This window comes from Homo sapiens, chromosome 18, assembly GCF_000001405.40.
Source record: "Homo sapiens chromosome 18, GRCh38.p14 Primary Assembly".
Taxonomy (NCBI): domain Eukaryota; kingdom Metazoa; phylum Chordata; class Mammalia; order Primates; family Hominidae; genus Homo; species Homo sapiens.
In genome coordinates this window covers 55,499,008-55,521,565 of record NC_000018.10, presented here as the reverse complement: position 1 = coordinate 55,521,565, position 22,558 = coordinate 55,499,008, and the positions used below count along the sequence as shown (strand labels likewise).

The window sequence follows — 22,558 nt, the reverse complement described above, 5'->3', positions numbered from 1 at the left end:
GTGAGAGTAAGCCGACAGTTCTGGTGTGATTTTCTTGGGAGGATAACGTATAATGTAGGTAGCAAACACATGGGAGAAAGAAGGTTTTGCATTATGAGATTTGACTTAATGTGTACAGTTTGCTTTTGGTGTTGTAAAGCAGTAAAGAGGCTTATTGACATCTCTATTGAAGGTCATTGCAGTGCATGAAATGTAAATCAAAGTGTTATTCTTTATTAGAAGCTAGAAGATAACATTTACATAACATGCTTTTAAGGTAATGAGTTAAGTTCATTATTTTTTATTACTATAACTGTTTGAAGAAAGTTATTTTCATGCTAAAAATACTCCTACTTGAATCCGATTTGTCATAATTTTTGCATGATGTATAATCTATTGTTAGGAAACGATAATTCCATTTATTTTTGTTTCTGGGGGAAAATTGTTAGACAGCTGTTTCAGTCTTTCCAAATAAACTCGCTTCCAGAATTCCTAGTAAGTAGCAATGCTGGTTGATAGGAATGTCACCATTTTTCTGACCCCCCTCAGCCTTATCACAAAGACATAGTGCAGAAGCCATATAAGAAATTTGAGAAAAGGAAAAGATACCAAGGCCTAGGTATTTCACAAACTGGATAATTAGACTCTGAATTGCGACGAATAGGCTGAAAGAAAAAAATGTCACAAGCCTATAGTGGCTTAAGGAACACTGATTTCACAGTGAAATCTTTCTACATAAATTTTATGGTTAACTGGTAATAGGAATAAAACTGTGGAGCAATGTCAGACAATTCTGTTATGATTCCTGCCTAATGAATGGCAGGCTTTCCCTTGGTATTTTCTCCTTAACCTGCCCATTGCCCTTTCTGTATGATCACATTTTCTTTAACCAGTTCTTTGCTCATAAATAAAGCCGTGTGTTCCGGTTCAAAAGTTGCATCTTCATTTATAAATTCACAGAATATGTTTTTCAGGGAAAAATGTAACTCAATCAGCTTTGCATGGTTTACATAATGTGATAGTCTCATATTTACTATGTGGTTAACAAGAAATAACTGTTACCAACAAAAATCAGAGAATTTAAAAACAACGAACATTTTGCTTGGGAGCCTATGTATATCTCTATATAAATACATATAGACATCTATAAACATCATCGATCCTTCCCATGTGCACATGCCATATATATGTGGATGTGGGATGATACTTGTTTTTATATATACATATCTATATTTATATAGCTGAAGAAGTGAAACATATTGCTTTTTATTTAAGTGACTCAATGCGTTTATAGACAAGCTTTATTTTACAGTACTTTATCAATGCCGAGATGATAAGATACTGCTTTGATTTGGTCTTCTAAAGGTCAAAATTTGAAAGAATAAATTGATTCCTAGAGACATTCTTATGCTATCATTGGCCTTATATTGAACAGAGAATTTCTAGGAAAATTATTATTCCTCAATGGAAATAAAAATTCATTTTAGGTAGCTTAATCAATTTGAATTATTCATTTATGGCATTGCTTTCAATTGTTGATGAGTGTATTTGTGTACTGGGTGTGGGGAGGTCTTCAGGGGATGGGAAGGTGGAGGGATGAGAAGATTCTTATAGCACTAAACTGAATTTTCAATTCCCTGCTAAAGTGTGAAGAAAGAAGTGAAGTGCTTCATTTTCTTCTTTTTAGAATCATTTAGCAACCACAGTTCGTACTTTATATTTTTTATGGAGTACTTTCAACAACTTGCTTTTGCAGTTGGGAAATGACACTTACCTGGATTTTCTTGGGTTCTTTATTCATGACATCAATGAAGACTACTGCTAATGAACCATAGATGAAGTTACACATATGCTAAGCAGGGAAATGCAGGAAGAATGTGAAGGTCCTAGAGTATCTCAATTCAGCATGTAAGTGAGTTGTGTGCACAGTAGCACAGTTCTGTCTTATGGCTGGTCAATGCTCCATATTATGAATTTACATAGGCTTTATTTTAGGCTCTGAAATAATTATTTTTATTATATTTCTCAAATTTGCCAAAGTATCTCTGAGAGAGATTCAGATCCCATCTGTTTGACAGCTGAGGAAATGGGGACAGTTGGTACAATGGTTTCTCAACATTAGAACACATCTTTTTTTTTTTTTTTCTTTTTTTGAGACGGGGTCTCACTCTGTTGCCCATGCTGAAGTGCAGTGGTACCATCAGGGCACACTGCAGCCTTGACCTGCCTGGCTTAAGCAATCCTCCTACCTCAGCCTCCTGAGTAGCTGGGAATACAGGTGTGGGCCACCATGCATGGCTAATTTTTGTATTTTTTTGTAGAGACATGGTTTCACAATGTTGCCCAGGCTGGTCTCGAACTCCCAGGCTCAAGTGATCTGCATGCCTTGGGCCTCCCAAAGTTTTGGGATTAAGGCATGAGCCAGCACGCCTGGCCAGAACATGTCTTAACTTTTTAAGATTCATGATCCTGTTGGGAGTCTTATGTTGTTGCTAATGTTGCTTATGTAATTTACTTTCATAATGTCCTGTTTCCACCTATTTTTCCCTCTTTGTGCTGAAGACTATTGAAGAGCATTGACTAGTGACATTCAGATAATAGTCTGGTGAGTTTGGGTTGAATGTTCTTTTTTGTGTGGCATGCTTGGATATGTGTAAATATGTAAGAATATAGGGAACTAAATCTTACTTTTCAAGATGCTATCGTGACACCTCTGCTTGTTAAAATGTTGGATAATTGTGAGAAAACACACAAAAAAATACAAGGACCCCGTCACACTTCTTTATTCTCTTTCAGATTTTATACACTTAAACAGATTTACAGCAAAAAATCCTCCAATGACTTTTTAAAAACACTGTTATGTTACTGATAAACTGATTTTTGTCTGTGTCCCTTCGTATATATTCACACAATTTTCATATTTCTGGGTTATTCATCCTTGCTTCACATGTGTTATCTCACGGTTAAAAAAATTTTTGTTGGATGATCAAAAGCAATTAAAACATTCTTATTCAGTGCTTACATACTTTTGTGTTCTTTTTCTGTGTCATTTTTTCATATACAGAATATGTTTTCCAATAGTTTACATTCTGAATTTTTTAATGACCAGTGTTAAACTGTTAGACTTACCATCATTTACTTAAGTCTCTCCTACATATTTGGTGATTTTGGTTATTTCTGTATCTTTGCACACGTTTTTTCATTTTTGTTTCTATTTTCTAATATGCAGTTTTTATAGCTTCTTGATAGAGTCTTTGAAATTTTGTTTCTGTGAAATTGTGTAGTTTCATAGAACTAAATTTGCTCTACTTAACTGTACCTGATGAATTCATATTAGCTATAAATATTTAAACATTTTATATAACAGACAGCAAATCATCATATTGCTGGGAATGTAAGGAAGATAAACTCCATGCATTCTAGAAGTCATTAGAGATTTTGCATATAAAGACCACAGCTAGTTTCAAGATCTAAATCTTGAAGCAGGCATTCAAGGTGTTTCAATAAGTACTTAACGGTAGGCCATTAATTCATGTAATCATTTAGGATAAATGATGGGCAGAAAAGTTACTGTGCAAAAAGTATTATTTGGAGAATAATGGATATATGAAAACTTACATAAATGATTATTTATTGTAATTTTTGTTACTTTCAATTTCTTGGTCATGGCAAAAATTGAAATGCAAGGTCAAACAGAAGAGAGATGGAGAAAGCTCTAACCAGCAAGGGCCTGGACTCTCACACTTCCCTGATTGGAGCTGCTGTGTGTGTCTGAGGAGTCACCATTGCTTTACTGCTTATACCTAAACAGAAGTATATGTAGCTTTGCTTGCACTGAGGATGTTTATAAATCCTCTGGGTTTTACATTTGATTTACTTTCTTCCTCAGCCTTCCCATCTCATTTGAAGACACCTTTAGTTTTTTCATTTCTCAGACTTAACCTCTAGGGAATTATTCATATCTCCATTTTCTCTTATATTGTACATTTAAAGTCTTCCTAAATGTTGTTAGCTTATATTTATTATCTATCGCTGCATAGCAAACATTCCCCAAACTTAGTGATTTAAAACAATAACCATTTTATTGGCACACAAATCTGTATGTAGTTTACCTGCTTGGACTGAGCTCAGCCAGTTGGTTCTCTTGTTGATGTCAATGGTGGTCACTCATGAGGATACAGTCTGATGGCGGGTGGACAGGAGGGCCTGGTTGGTTTAGGGAGCCATCAACTGAATTGGCTCACTTCTGTTCCATGTGGTTTAGGCCTCCAGAGGATAGCTCAGGGTTCTTCACATCATGGTAGAAAATCACCCAGCCGCACAAAAGAGCAAGATCAAATGAGTAAGCACTTTTTAAGTCTCTGCTTACATCATGCTTGCAGATACTCCATTGGTCAAAGCGTGTCATGTGGCATAGTCCAGTATCAGGGTGCTAAGAAACTCCACAAAATCATGGGTGAAGGATGGTGTTATTCATTAGGAGCTCTTATTATAACCGTTTCCCACAAGGTTCTGACTTTTAAGAATTCAACCACTTTTCCTAACCTCTGTTGCTAGGACTTTGTAGCACTCTGGTAATAGTCTGCTAACTGGACTGCCTGCTTTAGCCCTTGACCTTAGTCTGTTTTTTAATGGAGCAGTGATCTTTAAAACATAATTCAGATGTTATTCCTCCTCTTCTCAGAACACTTCATTGACCTTACACCTTATTTAGTTAAAGCCAAAGACCTTAAAATGGTATGTGGCTTCCCTGGTACCTCTGTGATATCATTTGCTTTCTCTCCCACTCTACACCAGCCACACTCTTTCTTAGTGTTCTGCAAATGCACCATGCAAGCTCCCACCTCAGGGTCTTCACATTTGTTATCCTTTCTGTTAGGAACACTTGACTCAGGTTCTCCATAGTTGGGTCCTTCATCTCTCTCTTCACTCAAATGTCATATCAGAAAGCCTTCCCTGACCACACTCTTGAAGATTACAGTCATTTCCTCTTCTAATGCTCACCATCGTGTTTCCTACTTAGTTTTTCTCCATCCAGGCCTCCGGATCACTCTCCATCCTGCTCTGTGTCTCAAGAGGCTAACCTTCTACAGTTGCATAATCAGACTGCCTTTCTCTCGTTCTCTCAGTCTTCTGGTTGGGTTCACCTAATGGGAAGCTGTAGCTTTCCCTTCATTTTGCTTATAAACCTTTAAAAAAAAACCCAAAAAACCAGACAGTATATTATTTTAGATTTAGATAAGACCAAACTAAGATTTAGTGAGCATTTTCCATGAACCAATTTCTGTGCTTTCAGATATGTCATAGAAAAAGTTAAGTGAACTGTCATCCCTGTTTAAGAGTCAGGGATACTGAGGTTGAGGTTAAATGACTTGTTCAAGGTAACAGTTAGAAAATAAACAAACAAGACTTCCAAACTCACGTCCAGTCATCTTTTCCATCTACAGCCCTGTCTCCGTAAGTCATCACTGAATGATCGCTGTTACACACACCTTTGGAATTTGTCTTTTATCACATACACACCACCACCACCATTTTCTGGAAACTTCTTTTAAACCCAATCTGACTTTTTAATCAAGTCTATATTTGCTAGTCTCAATAGCTGTTACCTTCATCCTCTTACATCTAAGGGCATGTTCACCAGGAGTCTTTCTCCGGAATCACCAACCTCCTCTTCTCTCCTGACTCTTCAGCATTTTAATATGCTCATTTCTCCTATCTTAAAATTAAAGATGGATTTTTAAATTTAAAGATGAATTTAAATACGCCCACCCCCCTCCAAATTTTGAGACTAACTTTTCTCTTCATTTTGTTCTGTCCTTTTCAAGCCAAGTTTTCTCACACGACATTCTGTATATAATGTGCCATGATCTGGCTTCTTTCCACAACACTCTCTGAAGATTCCACCTCAAAACGTCATCAGTAGCATGTGTGATTGGCTTTGACCTTTCTACTGCTTTACCTCTTTGAAGCGTTGGACTTTGGAACACAGCCTTCTTCTATACCTCCTACTCTCTTTCAAAACTCAGCTCATGTCTACCTCTTCATGGGAGTTTTTCTTAACACAGAAGACTGATCTGATTGTCCCTCCAGCTTGTCCTCTTGTATGCTGGGGCATATGCCAGCAATCACAGCTGCTGAGATGCTTAGTCTTCCTGACGGAACTGTAGTTTTTGGAGTGGTCAGGATCATGTCTTCAGAACTTGCACCCCAGCCATGTGTCTGCACGTAGTTCAGTGACCAGAACATAGTCAACACTCAGTACATGCCTGATGAATGAACAAATGAGTGTGACCATACTTAACTTGGTGAGGCCATTTTTTTCCGTGAGTTTTATACTCTGGGTTGTTTTCCTACCTTGGATTCTCTGACTTTTTTCTCTCTCATCTACTTGCCTGACTTTCTTAGGTCTTTTAACTTTGTTTCTCCATCTTTACATTAAGTGTTGGGATACAGGGCTGAACAAGAACAGGTAACTGTCTTATGGCTTTACGTTTATGTGTTTTCCTCTGAAATTAGGCAAATTTCCTAATCTTGCTGAAGTTATTTTCATCCTTAAGAAAGTAATATTATAGGTCTTTATAGAGTGGGGCAGGATCAAATGAGCATGTTTATTAATTGCTTAGCATTATGCCTGGCACAAATTCAATTACCATTATATGGTAATAATTTTAATAGTAATAAACCATATATTACACATGTATTATTCATAATCAGATGATGTATGCATTATATAAAAATTGTACTATTCTATAAATATTGTAAAAAAAGAGTAAATAATATACATCAATTGCTTTGTGCATCCATATATTTTTACGTGTGCTCCTTTTATTAAATCATATGTTTTTCCTCAGTTTATTGGTTGCTTTTTACTTACCAAAAGCTTCTGTCCAAAAAAAATCAAATGCTGCGGCTGCCCTGAGCAGAGTTCACCTTGGAAGAGGCTTTAATTGTGATGAACCTGTAAGAACAAAGTTTAAGAATTGAGATAATCAGCAGCTGTGTATTTCTTTAAATTTTTATATTTAATGATTTATTTGAATTAACTGTTACCACGTTTACATCTTCTAGATTAGTTTTTAGGCCTTTACTTTTCCTTGGCTGTGGGTACTGACCAGCATGGTGGTAGGTATGATTGGGGTGTGTGTGTGTGTGTGTGTGTGTGTGTGTGTGTGTGTGTGCATGGATAGATGTGTGTGTATGCTCATGGATGTGCATGTGCATGCATGAATGCATAATATTTCAAACACATGCTCAGTGATTGAGTCACTGTCAGGAAGTAAACTTGGAGACCATGTTGCTCGATGCCACAATAGTCCTGTTATTGCATTGTCACCACAGGATGCCATTAAAATAGGTATGAAGAATGTCAGTGTTCATTAATTTGGTTCTCTTCAGAGAACATTAGCCATGGGGAAAAGATACAGTAGAAATCTGAGAAGAGATGGAAGATAGGAGAGAAACCTGGCTTTTGAAGAATGATCTTTGATCTTTCAGAAGAGGAATACATGTCAAGAGCTTATCTATGTGAAAGAATTTACATGCAAAGCAAATCAAGAACATAGATTTTGCTTATCTTTATAGATTATAGTTTCATCTTAGATGGCAAAGAAAAGCCAGGCTTCTCTATACAAAGGGATTTGCATGTTTATGATAACTCAATTAGCCTTAACAGAGACTACCAGTATATGCTGGCTGTCTGGCCTCAAACTTTAATGCATATGTATTTTCAAAGAGAACTAAAAGATTTTGGGATTGTAACACAGAGAAAGAAGAGATAGAGAATTATCAAACATTGGGGATCAGCTTTAAAATTATAAAACAAATTATATATGTTCTGAAAAATTACTTCAGGAATAAGCAGCTTTTTTTTAAATATGAGAAAGCAAAATCATATCCTGTATGCCATTAAAGGTTATTGCGTTTTCCAAATTTATAGTTGCAAGTGATGGAAATTTTCTTTAACAAACTGAAGGATGCATTTGTAGTCTAAATGGTAGCTTTGAGAGTAGTTAGATATTTATGGAAAAATTATAAGAAGCAATGTGCTTTTAAAATTTTTTTTTCAAAAATAGATATTGGTTAGGAAAACTACACTCTTTCACTATTTGGTAATGCATATTCTGACTCATTCACACAGTCATTGTGGCACCTAAAGTGTTGCAAAATTAGACATTTATATGGAGATGGGCTATTGATGTAAAAAAAAAAAAAAAAGCTGAGGGCTAGGAATGATAAGACATGAGTAGAGGGTTTTAAAAATGAGCTCTTTGTTTTCCACTCTTCATCATGCCTAGATCTCAGAGAGGTTTTGTCCAGTGAGAATAAAGAACCCATGGGAATTATGCAGAAATCACTGTCCAGTAAAAGGAATAGTTTTCCTTCAGTGACCAAGGGTGGGACCTGAAGTCAGCACTAGTCAGTGACGCTGTTTTATCGTCTTCATGCCAGGTGAAGATTTGCATAGGTGAAATGCCCACTTATTAGGAGAATTACACCCTGACAGAAATCCAAAAGATGGTGCCCCTTTATCTTCTATCAGGGGATTTCATCTAATACTAGAAGGAGCAGTAAGATACCATGAGTTTGTTACCAGTTATTCACTGGCCTGATCCTGAAGGTCATTGCCTTTCTTCAGTGTTATTTGCTCAGTATCCTGCCTGCTACCCTTAAGCACTTACTTTGCCTATTGAAATCTTACTAGCTATTCATTCAGAAGTACCAGTATTTCTTTCAAGGTTGATCTTATGATGCTACTGTATTTTTTCTTGCCTTTTAATTATTTTTTTAACTTTTTATTTTGAAAAATTTTTAAACACATGCAATGTATACACAGTAGTAGAATAATCTTCTGTGTCACCATCATACAGTTTCAATATTTACCAGCATTCTGCCTTCTTGGCTCATCTATATATACCACTCCCACTCGATTTTGATAAATTCTTAATAATAGACTATGAGATCCTTGAAATTTGAAACTATAATTAAATATCTGTCTATAGACACCATACACATATATATACAGCTATATATGCACATACACACATATATGCATAGACACACACACCTACCCCTTTATTTTATTTTTTATTAAAATGTAACGTATCCTCATTGTGGAGATAGCCAATGTTAATATTTTGATTACTGTGTAGATTCTATCTTCCATTGGTTTTTAAAAACATAACATGAAATTTGTTTATTGCTTTTAAACTTCATATTTTACCATGAATATTTTCCAATGTCCTTGAATGTTTTGAAAGTGTGATTTTTAAAGGCAGCGTAATATTCCATCACATGGATCTTCCATAATTTATTTTAAGAGTTTGCAACTGTTGACCACATCTTAAACTCCTTGCACATAAACACTTGTCTGCATTTGCAAGGATGTTATTAGGATAGTTTCCTAGGGAATTATTAGGTGAAAGGCTCTTTATGTATCTTGCCAAGTTGCTATCTAGGAAGGCTGTGCCAATTTGTATTATTTTTATCTTATTAACGTGGTAGTCGACATAGTATCTGGTTGTGTTCTTTTAGAAATTGGCATTTTCTGGATTAATGACACTGAACGTTTTTCATGTTCATGATTCTTATTACATGTGTAAAATAAGGTGTTATCTGGAATTGTAGTGAATGGTACATGCCATTTAGTTTAGCTCCAAATCTAGTGCTTTGCAGCAATGATTAATTATTTTTAGTATTTCACAAATCAGTTTTTGCTGTCTTTGGACCAGAATGTCTGCCTAAGTGCAAGTTACATTAGTTGAGAGTTGGTCTTATTTTACTTTTTGAGTATTATTTTAAAAAATTGTCACTGTGTATAATTTTCTCCCTTTATGTCATGTAACTTTATTGAGAAATGCAATTCAATCAGGAATAATTTAGTTTAGGTAAAACTTCTTTGTCCAAGAAATATACTGTCAGGTCCAAATACATTTTAAGTTTTGAAAAAAATATTTATTTAGATAAAAATTTGTAATCACTCAGGGTATTTGACTGGATTTGAAGCATAATTTACTTCCAGAATGAATTTAGAACTCTGTTGTTAAAGTACTTGGTACAATTTGTATATCCAGTAAAATAAAAGTTGCCATTTTTGCAAGTCAGTGTTTTAATGCTGATTTGGTACTTTTGCTATGTGAAATTCCCCATACTCCAGTATAGGAACTGAATGAAAACATATACCTTATTAAAATAGTAGAGGTAAGTATTTTCAGCTTCCTAAACAGCAGAGAATGCTTTTTTTTTTTTTTTTTTTAAACTTTTGGAATTACTCTATTACCTACATCTAAGTTGCAAATCCAAAAATAAAACTAGGATTTTATTAACATATTCTGCCCTTCATTGCTTCCGGTTATACTTTGCTGAACTGTGTTCGAGTATGTTGAAAAATAATTCCGTGTATTGTGTGTTGAAAATGATATTAAAAGTATATGTGTTATGTGGAAGAAACAATCAAAACAGACCTACTCAGACATCAACAGGATATTATTACCCCAAAGAAATGACGACAGTTTGCCAGCTTGATGCGTAAAGGAAGGAAATTTACAAACATCTCCAAGAGAGGCATGTTGAACGGTTGAAGGAAATGAGGCACGTCCTGCTTTTATTGTGCTTATTGCAGTGGGATTCCCAGAAGACTGAACAAGGCTGTCCTGAGACCTCTGTTTGGCAGAGATCTTGTTGATTCATATTTTATTTTTGTTTCAGAAAAGGTCTGCTATTGTTCAAATTTCTAATGTAGCTCATAAACACACAGCCAGTATCATTTCCCCTTCTACTGACTGATATATACAAATAAATTAAAATCTACGGTCATCATTAACTCATGTTCTGTTTCCATGGAGCACAGGAGAGTAACAAGGAAGGCCCCTTAAAAGAAAGGCCTTTTAAAGTGGAGGTCTCAGTTCACAAACTTTAAAAGTTTACGAAGTAGTATTTTAGAATTTTAATCACCAGATATATTGGGGGAATTTATTACTTCCTATTCATATGGAAGAGGACAGCAGAGGTAAATATTTATGTAACTTGTATTTTAAAAGCTTACTCTTGATTAAAATGTTTGATCTATCGACTTCTGTATCCTTAGAAGTTTGAATTGCTGGACATATTTGACTGGGGTTTTTACAAAGGCTTCTAGGTTGAAATGCATGGTTCAGGATTTTGGTTTCAAATTTCTGTCAGGTTGGACACATATAAATGAGAAAGTAATGTGGAATATTATAAACATTTCTGCTTTTTTAAGCTCTAACTTTTTTTTGCTATCTCTACCAAAATGCCTGAAAATGTCATGACTCTTTAGACGGAGAAATAGAGGAATGGAAACCATTCTGGATCCTCTGCTGTGACTCAGTCAGTCTAAGGGGCAGACTGAGCGCTATATCTGGAGTTTTACTTTATGAATGTGCACCTTTAACCTTGAGTCAGAAAATGTGGTTACTGTCAGTCTTACTCAGTAAGTGGTGCTGCATAGAACATCAGGGGGAGACTTGGCCTTGGTTTAGTAGAAACTTGAAGGAGACAAACATGAAAAGCAGTGTCAGAAAATGGAAGACCAGTGTTAAAAATCTTTGGTTTTGCTTTCATTTCTCTTGGTTATTTCTTAGGATTATTGCTTTAGATCATTTTCCCAGGCATTTTCATGGATGAAGAATTCCAAAGAAAGTTATTATTTCAACTCTTGAAAGCTACGCTTCAGGGTGAAGGTAGGGCTTGATTATCAAAGGAATTTCCCTGGCTGCAGTCCTAACAGTTTAACTTCCTGTGATTTCCCCCCGCCCCTTTCCCTTTATTTTTGGCTCAGAACTTCAGTAATGTCTGGATTGATGGAATTCCTCTGGGAGGCAGATTTGAGGGTCTAAAGGTGCTTCTCAATAAAGATTTTGAGGAATGATATTAACTTATTAGAGGCAACCCTCTATTGTTTTAGTATAAAGGGGATGAGATTTGGGGGAATCATTTTGGATGTCACATTAAGCCACTAGCCATTTTACTCTTGATGACCTTAGTTGCCTTTAAACTGTATTTTTAGTGGGGATCATTCTTTCAACAGTCCATTCTTTTTTAAACGCAATTTGGTTTATAATTCTGGGGGCTGCCTCTACATGCTGTACTGTCAAGAGAGACATCAAATATTTTCTGAGTAGTTTTCAACACAGTGAATTAAAGCTGAAAAAACAAGTAGCGATACTACCAGCATCTTAACTGAGTATGTGGTGGTGGTGTTTGAGTGTTTGTGTGTGTGTGTGTGTGTGTCTGTCTGTGTGAGTGTTTTATGTTGCTGTACCTACTTGCTTTTAGGTAGCTACAGTTTTACCAGAGAAGAGAATAACTTAGATTATATCAAAGTTTTTTTTTATATAATGGTTTAAAAACCTGCCCTGTGTCTAGTACTCCTTTACGAAGTCCGCAAGACTTGGGGATAACAGTGGACAATAATGTTCCTTAAGGACTTACAGAAATAAGACACACACAGATATATTTAAATTCCAATTAATCTGATTTTTAGTGTGGATTATTGAAGGGCTAGGAACTTAGACTCAGAAATGGAGTATTTTTCCTGTTTAAAATGTAAAGAGATTTAATAACATACAGGAGTCTTGCTATGATTTTTGAGAGGAGATTTACTCTAATGTTTCAGATAATCTGTTTAACAGTTAATAAAAATACGATTTACATTTTGTTTGGATTTTTTAAAGTCAGCACATAATTTCTAAAAGTAAGCAAATTTCTTGCAGGGATGGTGAAATGAAACCTTGTAGCATTTAGCGTGTATTGCGGTTTTGTTATTTGCAGTTTGTTATTAAGTGTTCCTAGGAATAAAAGGAGGTGCACAGCAACAATGTTTACTGTGCCGATTTCTGGTATTTTATAATTAAAGAGCAAGTGTGAGCTGGGAAGGGTGGGCTGGAAAGCATGGATTCTGGCTCTAAATCTCAGCTCGACCACTTACTACCTGTAACCTGGGGCAACACAGTTATTTAATTTCTCTGTAAAATGAGGATAATACAAGTCCCTGCTTCATTGGGCTATGGGAATTAAATGAGTGAATGCATCTAACATTGAGAACAGTGTTCAGCCCATAGTAACTGCTCAGTGAGTATTTTTAAGCTATTAGCATGATCAAATTTAGAGAGGAGAAATATAATGGAGCAGTTTCTCAGTTCTTGTTAGAAATAATCATTACATTTGAAAATCCAACAAAATATTAACATTCAAAACCCATTTTCAGAAGTGGTGGTGGTAGAATTGCTATAACGGAGGAAAATTTAGGAATGGCAGCCTGGTTAAAAGAAAGGGCGGGTAGACCTGGAGTAGGTTATAGATCAATTTAAAGCAGCAAAGTTTTCTAAAGGTGCTTCTAGTTTTACTTTAAATGAGTTTGCAGTTGCACATATCAAATAATAAGGTGTTATTTGCCAGAGGCATTTTGTTGGTGGGGGGTGGGAGAAAGTTTTGGGGTATATTGTGTGTGTTGGGGGTACATTTCCCCGGCTGCCTTTTTCCACTGCTGCTGGTCCTCTGGTCAGGAAGCCTCCCTGTCCCGCACTGGTTCTGTTATTTGTTCTTGGATAGCATCAACTTGAGGATGAGACTTTATAGGCAACACATTAGCCTCAGTGTCTCCTCCTGGTTGTAGTCATTTCCCGGTTACATGGGTCAGTTTCTCCACCTTACTTGAGTGAATGCCTAGAAAGGCTATTTCAGCCTAGAGAATTTTTAGGGGAATGGAGAAGCTGAGGGTAACTCCTCAGCACCAACACTTGAACCCAATCAATACTTGATAGATTACTCCCAGCACACACAATACACCCAGAAATCTTCTCCCCAATCCACACCCAATTAAGTTTCAGCCAAGGTTAGAATTCAGTGGTTCCCTCTGTGTGTGTCCCCTTAGCTGTTGCTGTTCAGGTGCAAAGGTGTTCATTTCTTTGTCTACCCATGTGTAGTTGCCTGATATCCAACTAAACTGCATCAAAATATGGAACCCCTAGGTAGGCAAAAAAGATAATTAGAATACAGTAGTCCCCCCGCCCCCCTTATCTGTAGTTTCATTTTCTCTAGTTTTAGTTACTGTCCATCAGCTGTGGTCCAAAAATATTAAATGGAAAATTCCAGAAATAACTCCTAAGTTCTAAATTGCTCGCCATTTGATGAAATCTGCACTGTCCTTTGCCATCTCATCCGGGACATGAATCCTTACTTTGTCCAGCAGATTCACACTCCAGACACTCCCTGCCTATAAGTCACCTCTAGGTTTTCAGATTGACTGTTACTATGGCAGTGCTCAGGTTCTAGTCACCCTTTTTTGACTTAACTATGGCCCCAAAGCACAAAAGTAGTGAATCTGGCAATTCAGATATGCCAAAAGAAAGCCATGAAGTGCATCCTATAAGTTACAAGGGCAAAGTTCCCCACTTAAGAAAAGGCCAGGCCTGGTGGCTCATGCCTGTAATCCCAGCACTTTGGGAGGCCAAGGCGGGCGGATCACCTGAGGTCAAGAGATCGAGACCAGCCTGGCCAACATGGTGAAACCCCATCTCTACTAAAAATACAAAAATTAGCCAGACGTGGTGGTGGACGCCTGTAATCCCAGCTACTTGGGAGGCTGAGGCAGGAGAATTGCTTGAGTCTGAGAGGCGGAGGTTGCAGTGAGCCAAGATTGTGCCACTGCACTCCAGCCTCAGTGACAGAGCAAGCCTCCATCTCAAAAAAAAAAAAAGAAAAAAAAAAGAAAGATCATATGCTGAGGTTGCAGTATATTATAATTGTTCTATGTTACTCTTAGTTATTGTTGTCAGTCTCTCACTGTGCCTGATTTATGAACTAACTTTATCATAGGTATATATGCATAGGAAAAATCATAGCGTATATAGAATTTTGTGCTATCTGAGGTTTCAGGCATCTGCTGGAGATCTTAAAACCTATCCCTCTCTTAGAGTGAGTACTGTGATTATGTTTAAATAAATGAATGCATGCTTGCTTGTGGAAATATTTTTGTGTGTGGGGTATGTATATGTGTGTGTGTGTGTGTTGCATGTGGACATTTTAATGTGTGTGTATTATCCTAGCTGATGGTTTTCCTTTGGACATTTGGGTTCATTTTGTAGAAAGAAAATGCAGTTTTAGAATCAGGAAGCTGATTGGATGATTCCATCTGAATATATGTGTGTGTATAAATAAAATATATTATCAAAAGCCTGACTTGACTTGGGAACTGGGAAGTAGCAGCCTCAGGTCCTCCTAGGTTTATTGGAGTTACACTTATTAGTAAGTAGCCTAATCCTCTCTGCAAAGAGAGGAAGTACAGTTTTATGATAGAATCACGTGGGATGAGGATCATTGAACCAGAGAGAAACTGCTGCTGTTTGATTTCCACTGCAGGTCATCAGTATTTCTTGATCTAGAACAATGATAAAAAGTGTTCTGGTCTTTAAGCAAAACTCAGATTTAGGCTTTATCCTTAGAATCTGATCTTTAAAACTGGAAGCACAAGCTTTCCAGCTTTGAATTCACTCCATTTCAGAGATGAAGAAACCATTTCTCAAAGAGGTGTCTCTGTTGAGGTTTCACAGTGAACAAGTCAGGTCAGCTGAATCCAGGTCTAGTGTTATTTCCTGCAAATACATTTTATTTTTCATTTTTGCAGTAATCTTTAGATTAAACCCACTCCTATACTGTTGGATTAGTTAGGCACATGGACTGGGTGTATGTTTCCCAGATTTGAAGGTTGGTTCTCCATGTCATAGTTATTTGTTCTGGTTGCTTTTTTTTTTTTTTTTTTTTGAGACGGAGTCTCGCTCTGTGGCCCAGGCTGGAGTGCAGTGGCGGGATCTCGGCTCACTGCAAGCTCCGCCTCCCGGGTTCACGCCATTCTCCTGCCTCAGCCCCCCAAGTAGCTGGGACTACAGGCGCCCGCCACTACGCCCGGCTAATTTTTTGTATTTTTAGTAGAGACGGGGTTTCACCGTTTTAGCCGGGATGGTCTCGATCTCCTGACCTCGTGATCCGCCCGCCTCGGCCTTCCAAAGTGCTGGGATTACAGGCGTGAGCCACCGCGCCCGGCCCGGTTGCTATTTTTTCTCAGTTTTCTTATCTGTACAGTGGCGGTAGTTATTTCATAGAATCATACTGAGGACTAAATAAGTTATTTCTTGTAAATTACTTACATGAGTACCCAGCATAAGTGTTAGCTATAATAATTATTATGTTATTAATGATTATGTCATTATTATGTATTGTTGATAGTAATATAATAATATATTGCTTTTTAGACACTTTAGTTAGCTATCCAGCATATGACAATAAAAAGGTGGCTCTATTGAAGAGAAGGATTCCATAATTTTCTTGTGAAATTAGCGCCATAAATCATTGAACATCTTGCTTCAGTTTTGTGTGAATTATTTGGATTGACTAAGTACTCTTGGTACTGGGCTGAGTTACCATCTGCTGTGTTTTGCTTCCATAGGTCAGGCTTATTCTCCTAGGGAATGGTGAGGTGGAAAAAAATGCCAATAACCTAACCCCAAAATGTATCCTAACTGTCTTGTTCACATTTATAGGACAGTTTTATTGCTGTAGGTAAGACGGATAACTGGGCACTATTCCAGCATCTTGGCAGTTTTCCTTTTTTCAAGGTACTAATATTAGGATTAGCATGTTGTTTTAAAGCCATTGCCTTTCTGCACCTTATAATTGCTTGTTCTTGGGGGAGGCTTGGAACATTTGAATTACGGTTTTTCTGCCAAATATGGGAGAGGTTGTCTGTTTTGTTTTAATACTTCGATTGGTTTTTAAAGTTGGTACTACAGTCCATTTTGCCAACAGACAACACAAATTAGAGGCAGTGTGGGCACACTGTGTATGGGGCAGATGCAGAGAGGGGCAGCGAATATGCATGAGCGAGAATGTTATAGCTCTGTCAGTTTTTGTATGTGTGCCTCAGTTTATTTTTGGTATTGATACCAATGTTCGGCAATACAGTGATTTGCCTCCTCTATTTTGTTTCTAAATCAAAGCCTTGGCAGATTAAAATGACTAGGAAAAGATTAAATTGTTAATGGTATAATCATATTTTTCTCTAAAGCATTGAAGAATTACAGTGTCTATACTTATTAGCATGTGATAACTTTAGTGATTGAAATGTTTAGCTAGTTTTACTCAAATATTAGTAGGATTTCTAATTTTCATAGGAGAGCCTAGTGCCACAAAAGTTACTGGTAACTAGCACTCTTCAGTTTTCATCTTCATGTAACTGTTGTGAGCATTCAAGGAAGGAGCTGGGAAATGGTTTAGTCTTCATAGATGCTCAACAGATGTGAGTTCTCTTTTCTCCCATGTATACGTTTCTTATCTTTTTGTAGAGTTCATGGGAGCAGCATTTATGGATTCAGACTTATATTGTTGACAATGTCCTTGCTACCTGATAGATGATCAGTAAGTGTTGCAGAACGAATACATATGAGAGCAGCAGAGATAGGAGTACATTAGGGCAATTAGAATAGATTCCTTTTTTTGTTTGTTTTTTGAGACAGAGTCTGTTGCCCAGGCTGGAGTGAGGTGGATCGGTCTCACTGCAACTTCTGCCTCCTGGGTTCAAGCGATTCTTGTGCCTCAGCCTCCTCAGTAGCGGGACTACAGGCATGTGCCACCACACCTGGCTAATTTTTATATTTTTAGTAGAGATGGAGTTTCATCACGTTGGCCAGGCTGGTCTCGAATTCCTGGCCTCAAGTGATCCGTCCACCTCGGCCTCCCAAAGTGCTGGGATTACAGGTATGAGCCACAGTGCCCGGCCATTAGAATAGATTTCAAAGAAAAGTTGACTGTGCCAATCTCTGCTCCCTCCTGTATGTTGTTAAGTCTACAGGGCCATATTGCCTAAAGAAACGGAGTTCCCCAAGAATGTGTTAGGAATAACAAAAATTCTGTACTTTGACCTGAAAATTGCGGTTCTTGAGCTGGTTATTTTTCTAGGTATTGTTGGAAGTTATGAGTCAGAGTTAGGTACTTATTCGTGGATAACACAAGGACTTCTGTCAGAGATCTGGATGCTGTCAGTAGAATCTCTGTTTACCCTCTTGGGCTCAGTTTATTCATCTATTCTATGAGGAGGAGTATGCCTGTTTGGCCTTCCTCTTAGGTTGCTTTTGAGAATGAATGAAATAATATGTGAAAATTCTGTTCATAAGTGTAGAAGATGGCTAGTGATGATGATGATGATGATGATGAAATTGATGATGCCCAAAATATGGAGAATCTAGACTGAATTTATGGCTTTCTAACTTCGAATTTTCGGCTTTCTAACTTCGAATTTTCAGGAATGCATGATGATAGAATGTTTTTATTTCTGATATCCACTGCATTGTTTCTATAGACCTTCAAAGTTTGACACAAATAACTAAATTATTTTGTTTTGTTGGTGAGGATCACTTTTATTTTAGCGGTGTATCCTGTTAAAATAACCTTGCATGAGGATTCTCAAAGTTATACTAATGTTGCACTAGTAACTAAGGCAGTTCCAAAAAGAGACATTTAGAATGAATAAGGATAAATCAAAAGTAATTCATATCCATTGGTAAGGAGGTGGCACATACCAAGTGTCAACTGTAGATATTTTAGAAATTGAAGTGTTACCATGGAATCAAAGTATTCCACTGTAAGGTTGAATATCTCAGGATACCTACTTTAAGTCGTCGATTAAGATGAAGTTAATATTCATTTTACATATCCTGCTTGAAACCTCTTATGCTGTGAAATTTTCCTGTCTATTAAGAATAGTTTTAGAAAAATGAATTAGCTAATTCCTTAACTTGTATGTAACTTGAATATAAGTTCCTTTCCTTAACTTGTGTGAAAATCAGTTCTCCTTTGTGAAGAGCATGAGAGATACCTCAATAAAATAGTAATTTTATATTGACATCGGTTGCAGTTTCAAAGTCAGAGTTTTACACTTATGTGCCCCTATATTGTCTAGCTTTGTAATCCCCACTTTAAAAGGCATCCCAAAATAGCAACAGAAGAATAAATTGTGACTTGGGTGTATTAGATTTGTATGATCTTGTTTATTGAGCTGCTTTGTTATGTAGTTACCAAGGATGATGTAAGCTTCTCATCCAAGTTTTCCTTTACTATGCTGCATTGTCCTTTAAATGTCATGAGAATACAAATATTTTCAAGGTAGCAGTGAGGAACAATCTAGATGAGATGACCAAAAGGACCTCTCATATGAAACTGCAGTGAGCAAAGGTTTATTGGTCTTTGGATCTCTAAATAGAGTGACTTTAGATATCTAAATTTAGTGAAAACCAGAATTCAGTGACTTTAGATTTCAGACCATAAGGGGTTGTAACACCTACTCCTTTTCTCTGTAATGAAGAAAAATGACCACAACAATGTGGTGGATATCAGAAATAGAAACTTTTCATCGTCATGCATTCCTGGAAATTCCAGGTTAGAAAGGCATAAAAGAGAGAGAAAACCTGTCATAGTTAGTATATCTACCTTGGTTAGTGTTTTTCACTTAGGGGATTGCAAATTCATATGAGAATTGCTGAGAGAAACAATTAATTTAGAACAAATATTCTCCTTCCATTGTTACAGCCTGTAAAATGTTACTTCTGAGTTGCTACTTATCTATCACCATTTCTCTTTCTCCACTTCATTGTTAGTGTTTGTATGATTAGGGTGGGCGGGGGTCTTCTGGATGGGGTTGCTCACACTCCACAAAGCCTTTTCCCTCTTCTGTTGAAAGAAGACACAGCTGAAATCAGTCTCTTTGCCTTTTCATGATATGGGGATGCGGTGGAATCAAAGCAGGCAGGATGAAAGCCCAAAAGCTTCCTGTTTCCAGCTGTTTTCTTCAGCGAAGGTTTTTTTTTTTTCTCCCAAAGATGATGCTTCCTTTCAAGGGGTTTTTAATCTGCTAACTGTTTCCTCAGTTTATTTCACTACAGTAAAATGTGTTCCCTTTAGGTCATATCTGTCTCTTTTAAAACCCAACCTGTCCTTTTCAGCCGTGTTAGTTGCTACTCAAAAGAACAAACGTGATTTATAAAAGTCCTTTTAATGAGGTACAAAGACCAATAAACCTTTGCCACTAGAGTTTCATCTTTTCAGTTGCTTTATTTTCATTTATGAAAAATTTGAGATGTCAAAAAGCCATTGAGAACACTATTGATTTGACCATTTAATATTTGTAAACAAAGCCGTTAAAAATAAAATATATTGTTATGGCCTTAAGGTTGGTTGTGGTTTTTTTTTCCCTTCCGAATGCAGTATAATCATATGTAATTTGTTTAATGTAAATTCTTTAAAATTAAGGCACTGGAAACTGCATAAATGCTAAAATGAATACTAAGAGTGGCTTGATTTATTAAGTGATAATGTGCATGAAAATATGGCTTTTTTGCACTGATGTTTATTGCTTCACTTTTTGCATTGATGTTGTTTTGGAATTTACATTTCTAAATTCTGCATCCTCTAGGGATAAATGAAATATAAAAATGAATTCTTTTAATCACTCATTAAACATTAACTAGACCTTTCACCCATTTCCTAGATCTTCCAGGGTTCTCAGTAATAATCATCATCATTATACATTGATTTATAAAGGAATATCAGAGTGAGTCAGAATTTTTCTGTTTCTTTATCACTTGTCTTTCCCCAAATATCCATACTGACCTAAACGTAGGAGAATTTATCAGCAAGAAGGTTCACATTGCTGCCCTGTTATTTGAGCTCATTCTTTGTGATATAATGAAGCCAGTGGCATATGGGGGAGAACCACCTCATTTCATTTTCACTTTAATGCTAACTCTAACATATGCTTTTGAATTGAAGTGGGGTCCCAAATGCCAATATATGTTAAAAGAATTAAACACTTTGAAAAAAGAGAAAGTTTTCCCTTATTTACTCCTGTTGCCCACTCTCTTGAGGGTGAGAGGCTGATAGCGCTTAAAAACATGAGCATGCCTATTTTATCTGTACTGTTTAATAGAGAGCTATGAAAAAAATGGCAATTAACATATTCAGACAGAAAATCATCCTGGCTGAATGACTCATTAAATAGTCGTATAAACAGGATGTGCCGAAATGAACTGGTTCAGAATTTAGTTCCATTGGTCTTTTCAGCACACACTGCTCATTATCAGCACTTTAAGAAGCAGACTTGTGGGTGCTTAGAGGACACTTAAATTTCTTTTCTCTTTATTTTTTTCTTAAATACTTCTCCCCTCCTCCACTCCTTTCCCCTGCTATTCCTAATTCTTTGCAGGCTAAGATTACTCGTCTAAACATGAAACATTCTGTTGGCAATCGAGTTAGGGGTAAGAGCTTCTGACTTTCATCCAGGTCGGTGGTCCTAACCCCAGATGACAATCAAAATGTATTTGAAGATTTTTTTTTTTGGAGACAAAGTCTCCCTCTGTCGCCCAGGCTGGAGTGCAATGGCACAATCTTGGCTCACTGTAGCCTCAGCCTCCCAGGTTCAAGCAATTCTCCTGCCTCAGCCTCCGAGTAGCTGGGATTACAGGCGTATACCACCATGCCTGGCTAATTTTTGTATTTTTAGTAGAGATGGGGTTTCACCATGTTGGCCAGGCTGGTCTCAAACTCCTGACCTTGTGTGATCCGCCTGCCTCAGCCTCCCAAAGTGCTGGGATTACAGGCGTGAGCCACTGTGCCTGGCCATGTTTTTAAAATATGCAGACATTGCTGAACCTCATTTTTTTGGGCTTCCCATTCAGTAGGTCTAGAGGCAAGGCCTGGTAGTCCGTATTTTAATAAAAGCTCCCAGTAGGATTCAGATAGCCAGCCGGGCTTGGAAACTATTCACTGATTTGTGTCCCCTCACAGTAAAAATGCTCTTTCCCCAGGTACAGGATATATGGCCATCTGGCCTGGATATCAGTGGTTTGCAGACCTGGCTGCAAATTAGAATCACTTGGGGAGCTTGGAGAATAAATACTGATGTTTGACCCCACCCCCAATTAAATTGTTGGTGGGGGGAGTAGTTAAAACCTCCCCAGTTGATTCTAATGTACAGTCAAGTTAGAGTACTTCTGTCCTACATAAACAGATGGAGCTAGGTTTAGCTGAAAAAGTCTAGTTTTCTTTTAGAATATGCTTTACCCTGTGCTAAAACTCCTCTGTTACTGTGCCTCCCTAGCCACACACACAGAGCTTAAACGTATTGCCTCTACTAAGGCTTTCACATTTATTGGTACCCTGTTCTCAGGTGGGAGTAGAATGCTAGGCTCTCACGTTGTATCAGATTCCTGTTTCTTCCTACCTGAGTATCACATCTGTGATGTGCAGATGTGTTGGTATAGCATGAGCACCCCACAAAGGCTAAGTAATAAGGATGAAGAACAAAATTGCAGTTTAGCAAAGGAAGGAGCATCCATCTTTTGAGTCCCTGTATACTCCAAGAAAAATTCTGAGTAAACAAGTTTCTTCTTTAGCAAGTTGTGATATTAAATGGGTGCCTTTCATTACATTGGCTAACATTTGCATTTCTTGGACCTGTTCTGGAAAAGGGTCTGAGATGAACCCATCGTTGAAGATCTAAAAAACAAAAACT

General features: G+C 37.1%; 1 protein-coding gene across 34 annotated transcripts in view, besides 3 other annotated features; it reads left to right on the top strand.

Annotated features, from left to right (window-relative positions):
• Nucleotides 1-22,558, top strand: part of TCF4 (transcription factor 4) — a 413,773-nt gene that overhangs the window by 114,392 nt on the left and 276,823 nt on the right. For 2 of the 34 annotated variants that reach the window (NM_001243231.2, NM_001348211.2), the window contains exon 1: nt 10,794-10,987. The exons of the other annotated variants lie outside the window; for them this stretch is intronic. In NM_001243231.2, the coding sequence (NP_001230160.1) occupies nt 10,969-10,987 (19 nt within the window). In that variant the 5' untranslated portion in view covers nt 10,794-10,968. Of the gene's footprint in view, nt 1-10,793; nt 10,988-22,558 lie in introns of those variants that run through there. 34 annotated transcript variants of the gene reach the window in all.
• Nucleotides 11,488-11,537: an enhancer, noted in NCBI's record as "active region_13359". NCBI's record gives its function as "activates an Ori minimal core promoter by ATAC-STARR-seq in GM12878 lymphoblastoid cells {active_cell/tissue: GM12878}" and the evidence as "EXISTENCE:reporter gene assay evidence [ECO:0000049][PMID:35858748]".
• Nucleotides 11,488-12,018: a biological region, named in NCBI's record as "NANOG-H3K27ac hESC enhancer GRCh37_chr18:53176779-53177297".
• Nucleotides 11,500-12,018: an enhancer, noted in NCBI's record as "NANOG-H3K27ac hESC enhancer chr18:53176779-53177297 (GRCh37/hg19 assembly coordinates)". NCBI's record gives its function as "activates a minimal SCP1, AML or CMV promoter by ChIP-STARR-seq in primed H9 embryonic stem cells {active_cell/tissue: H9 hESC(primed)}" and the evidence as "EXISTENCE:reporter gene assay evidence [ECO:0000049][PMID:30033119]".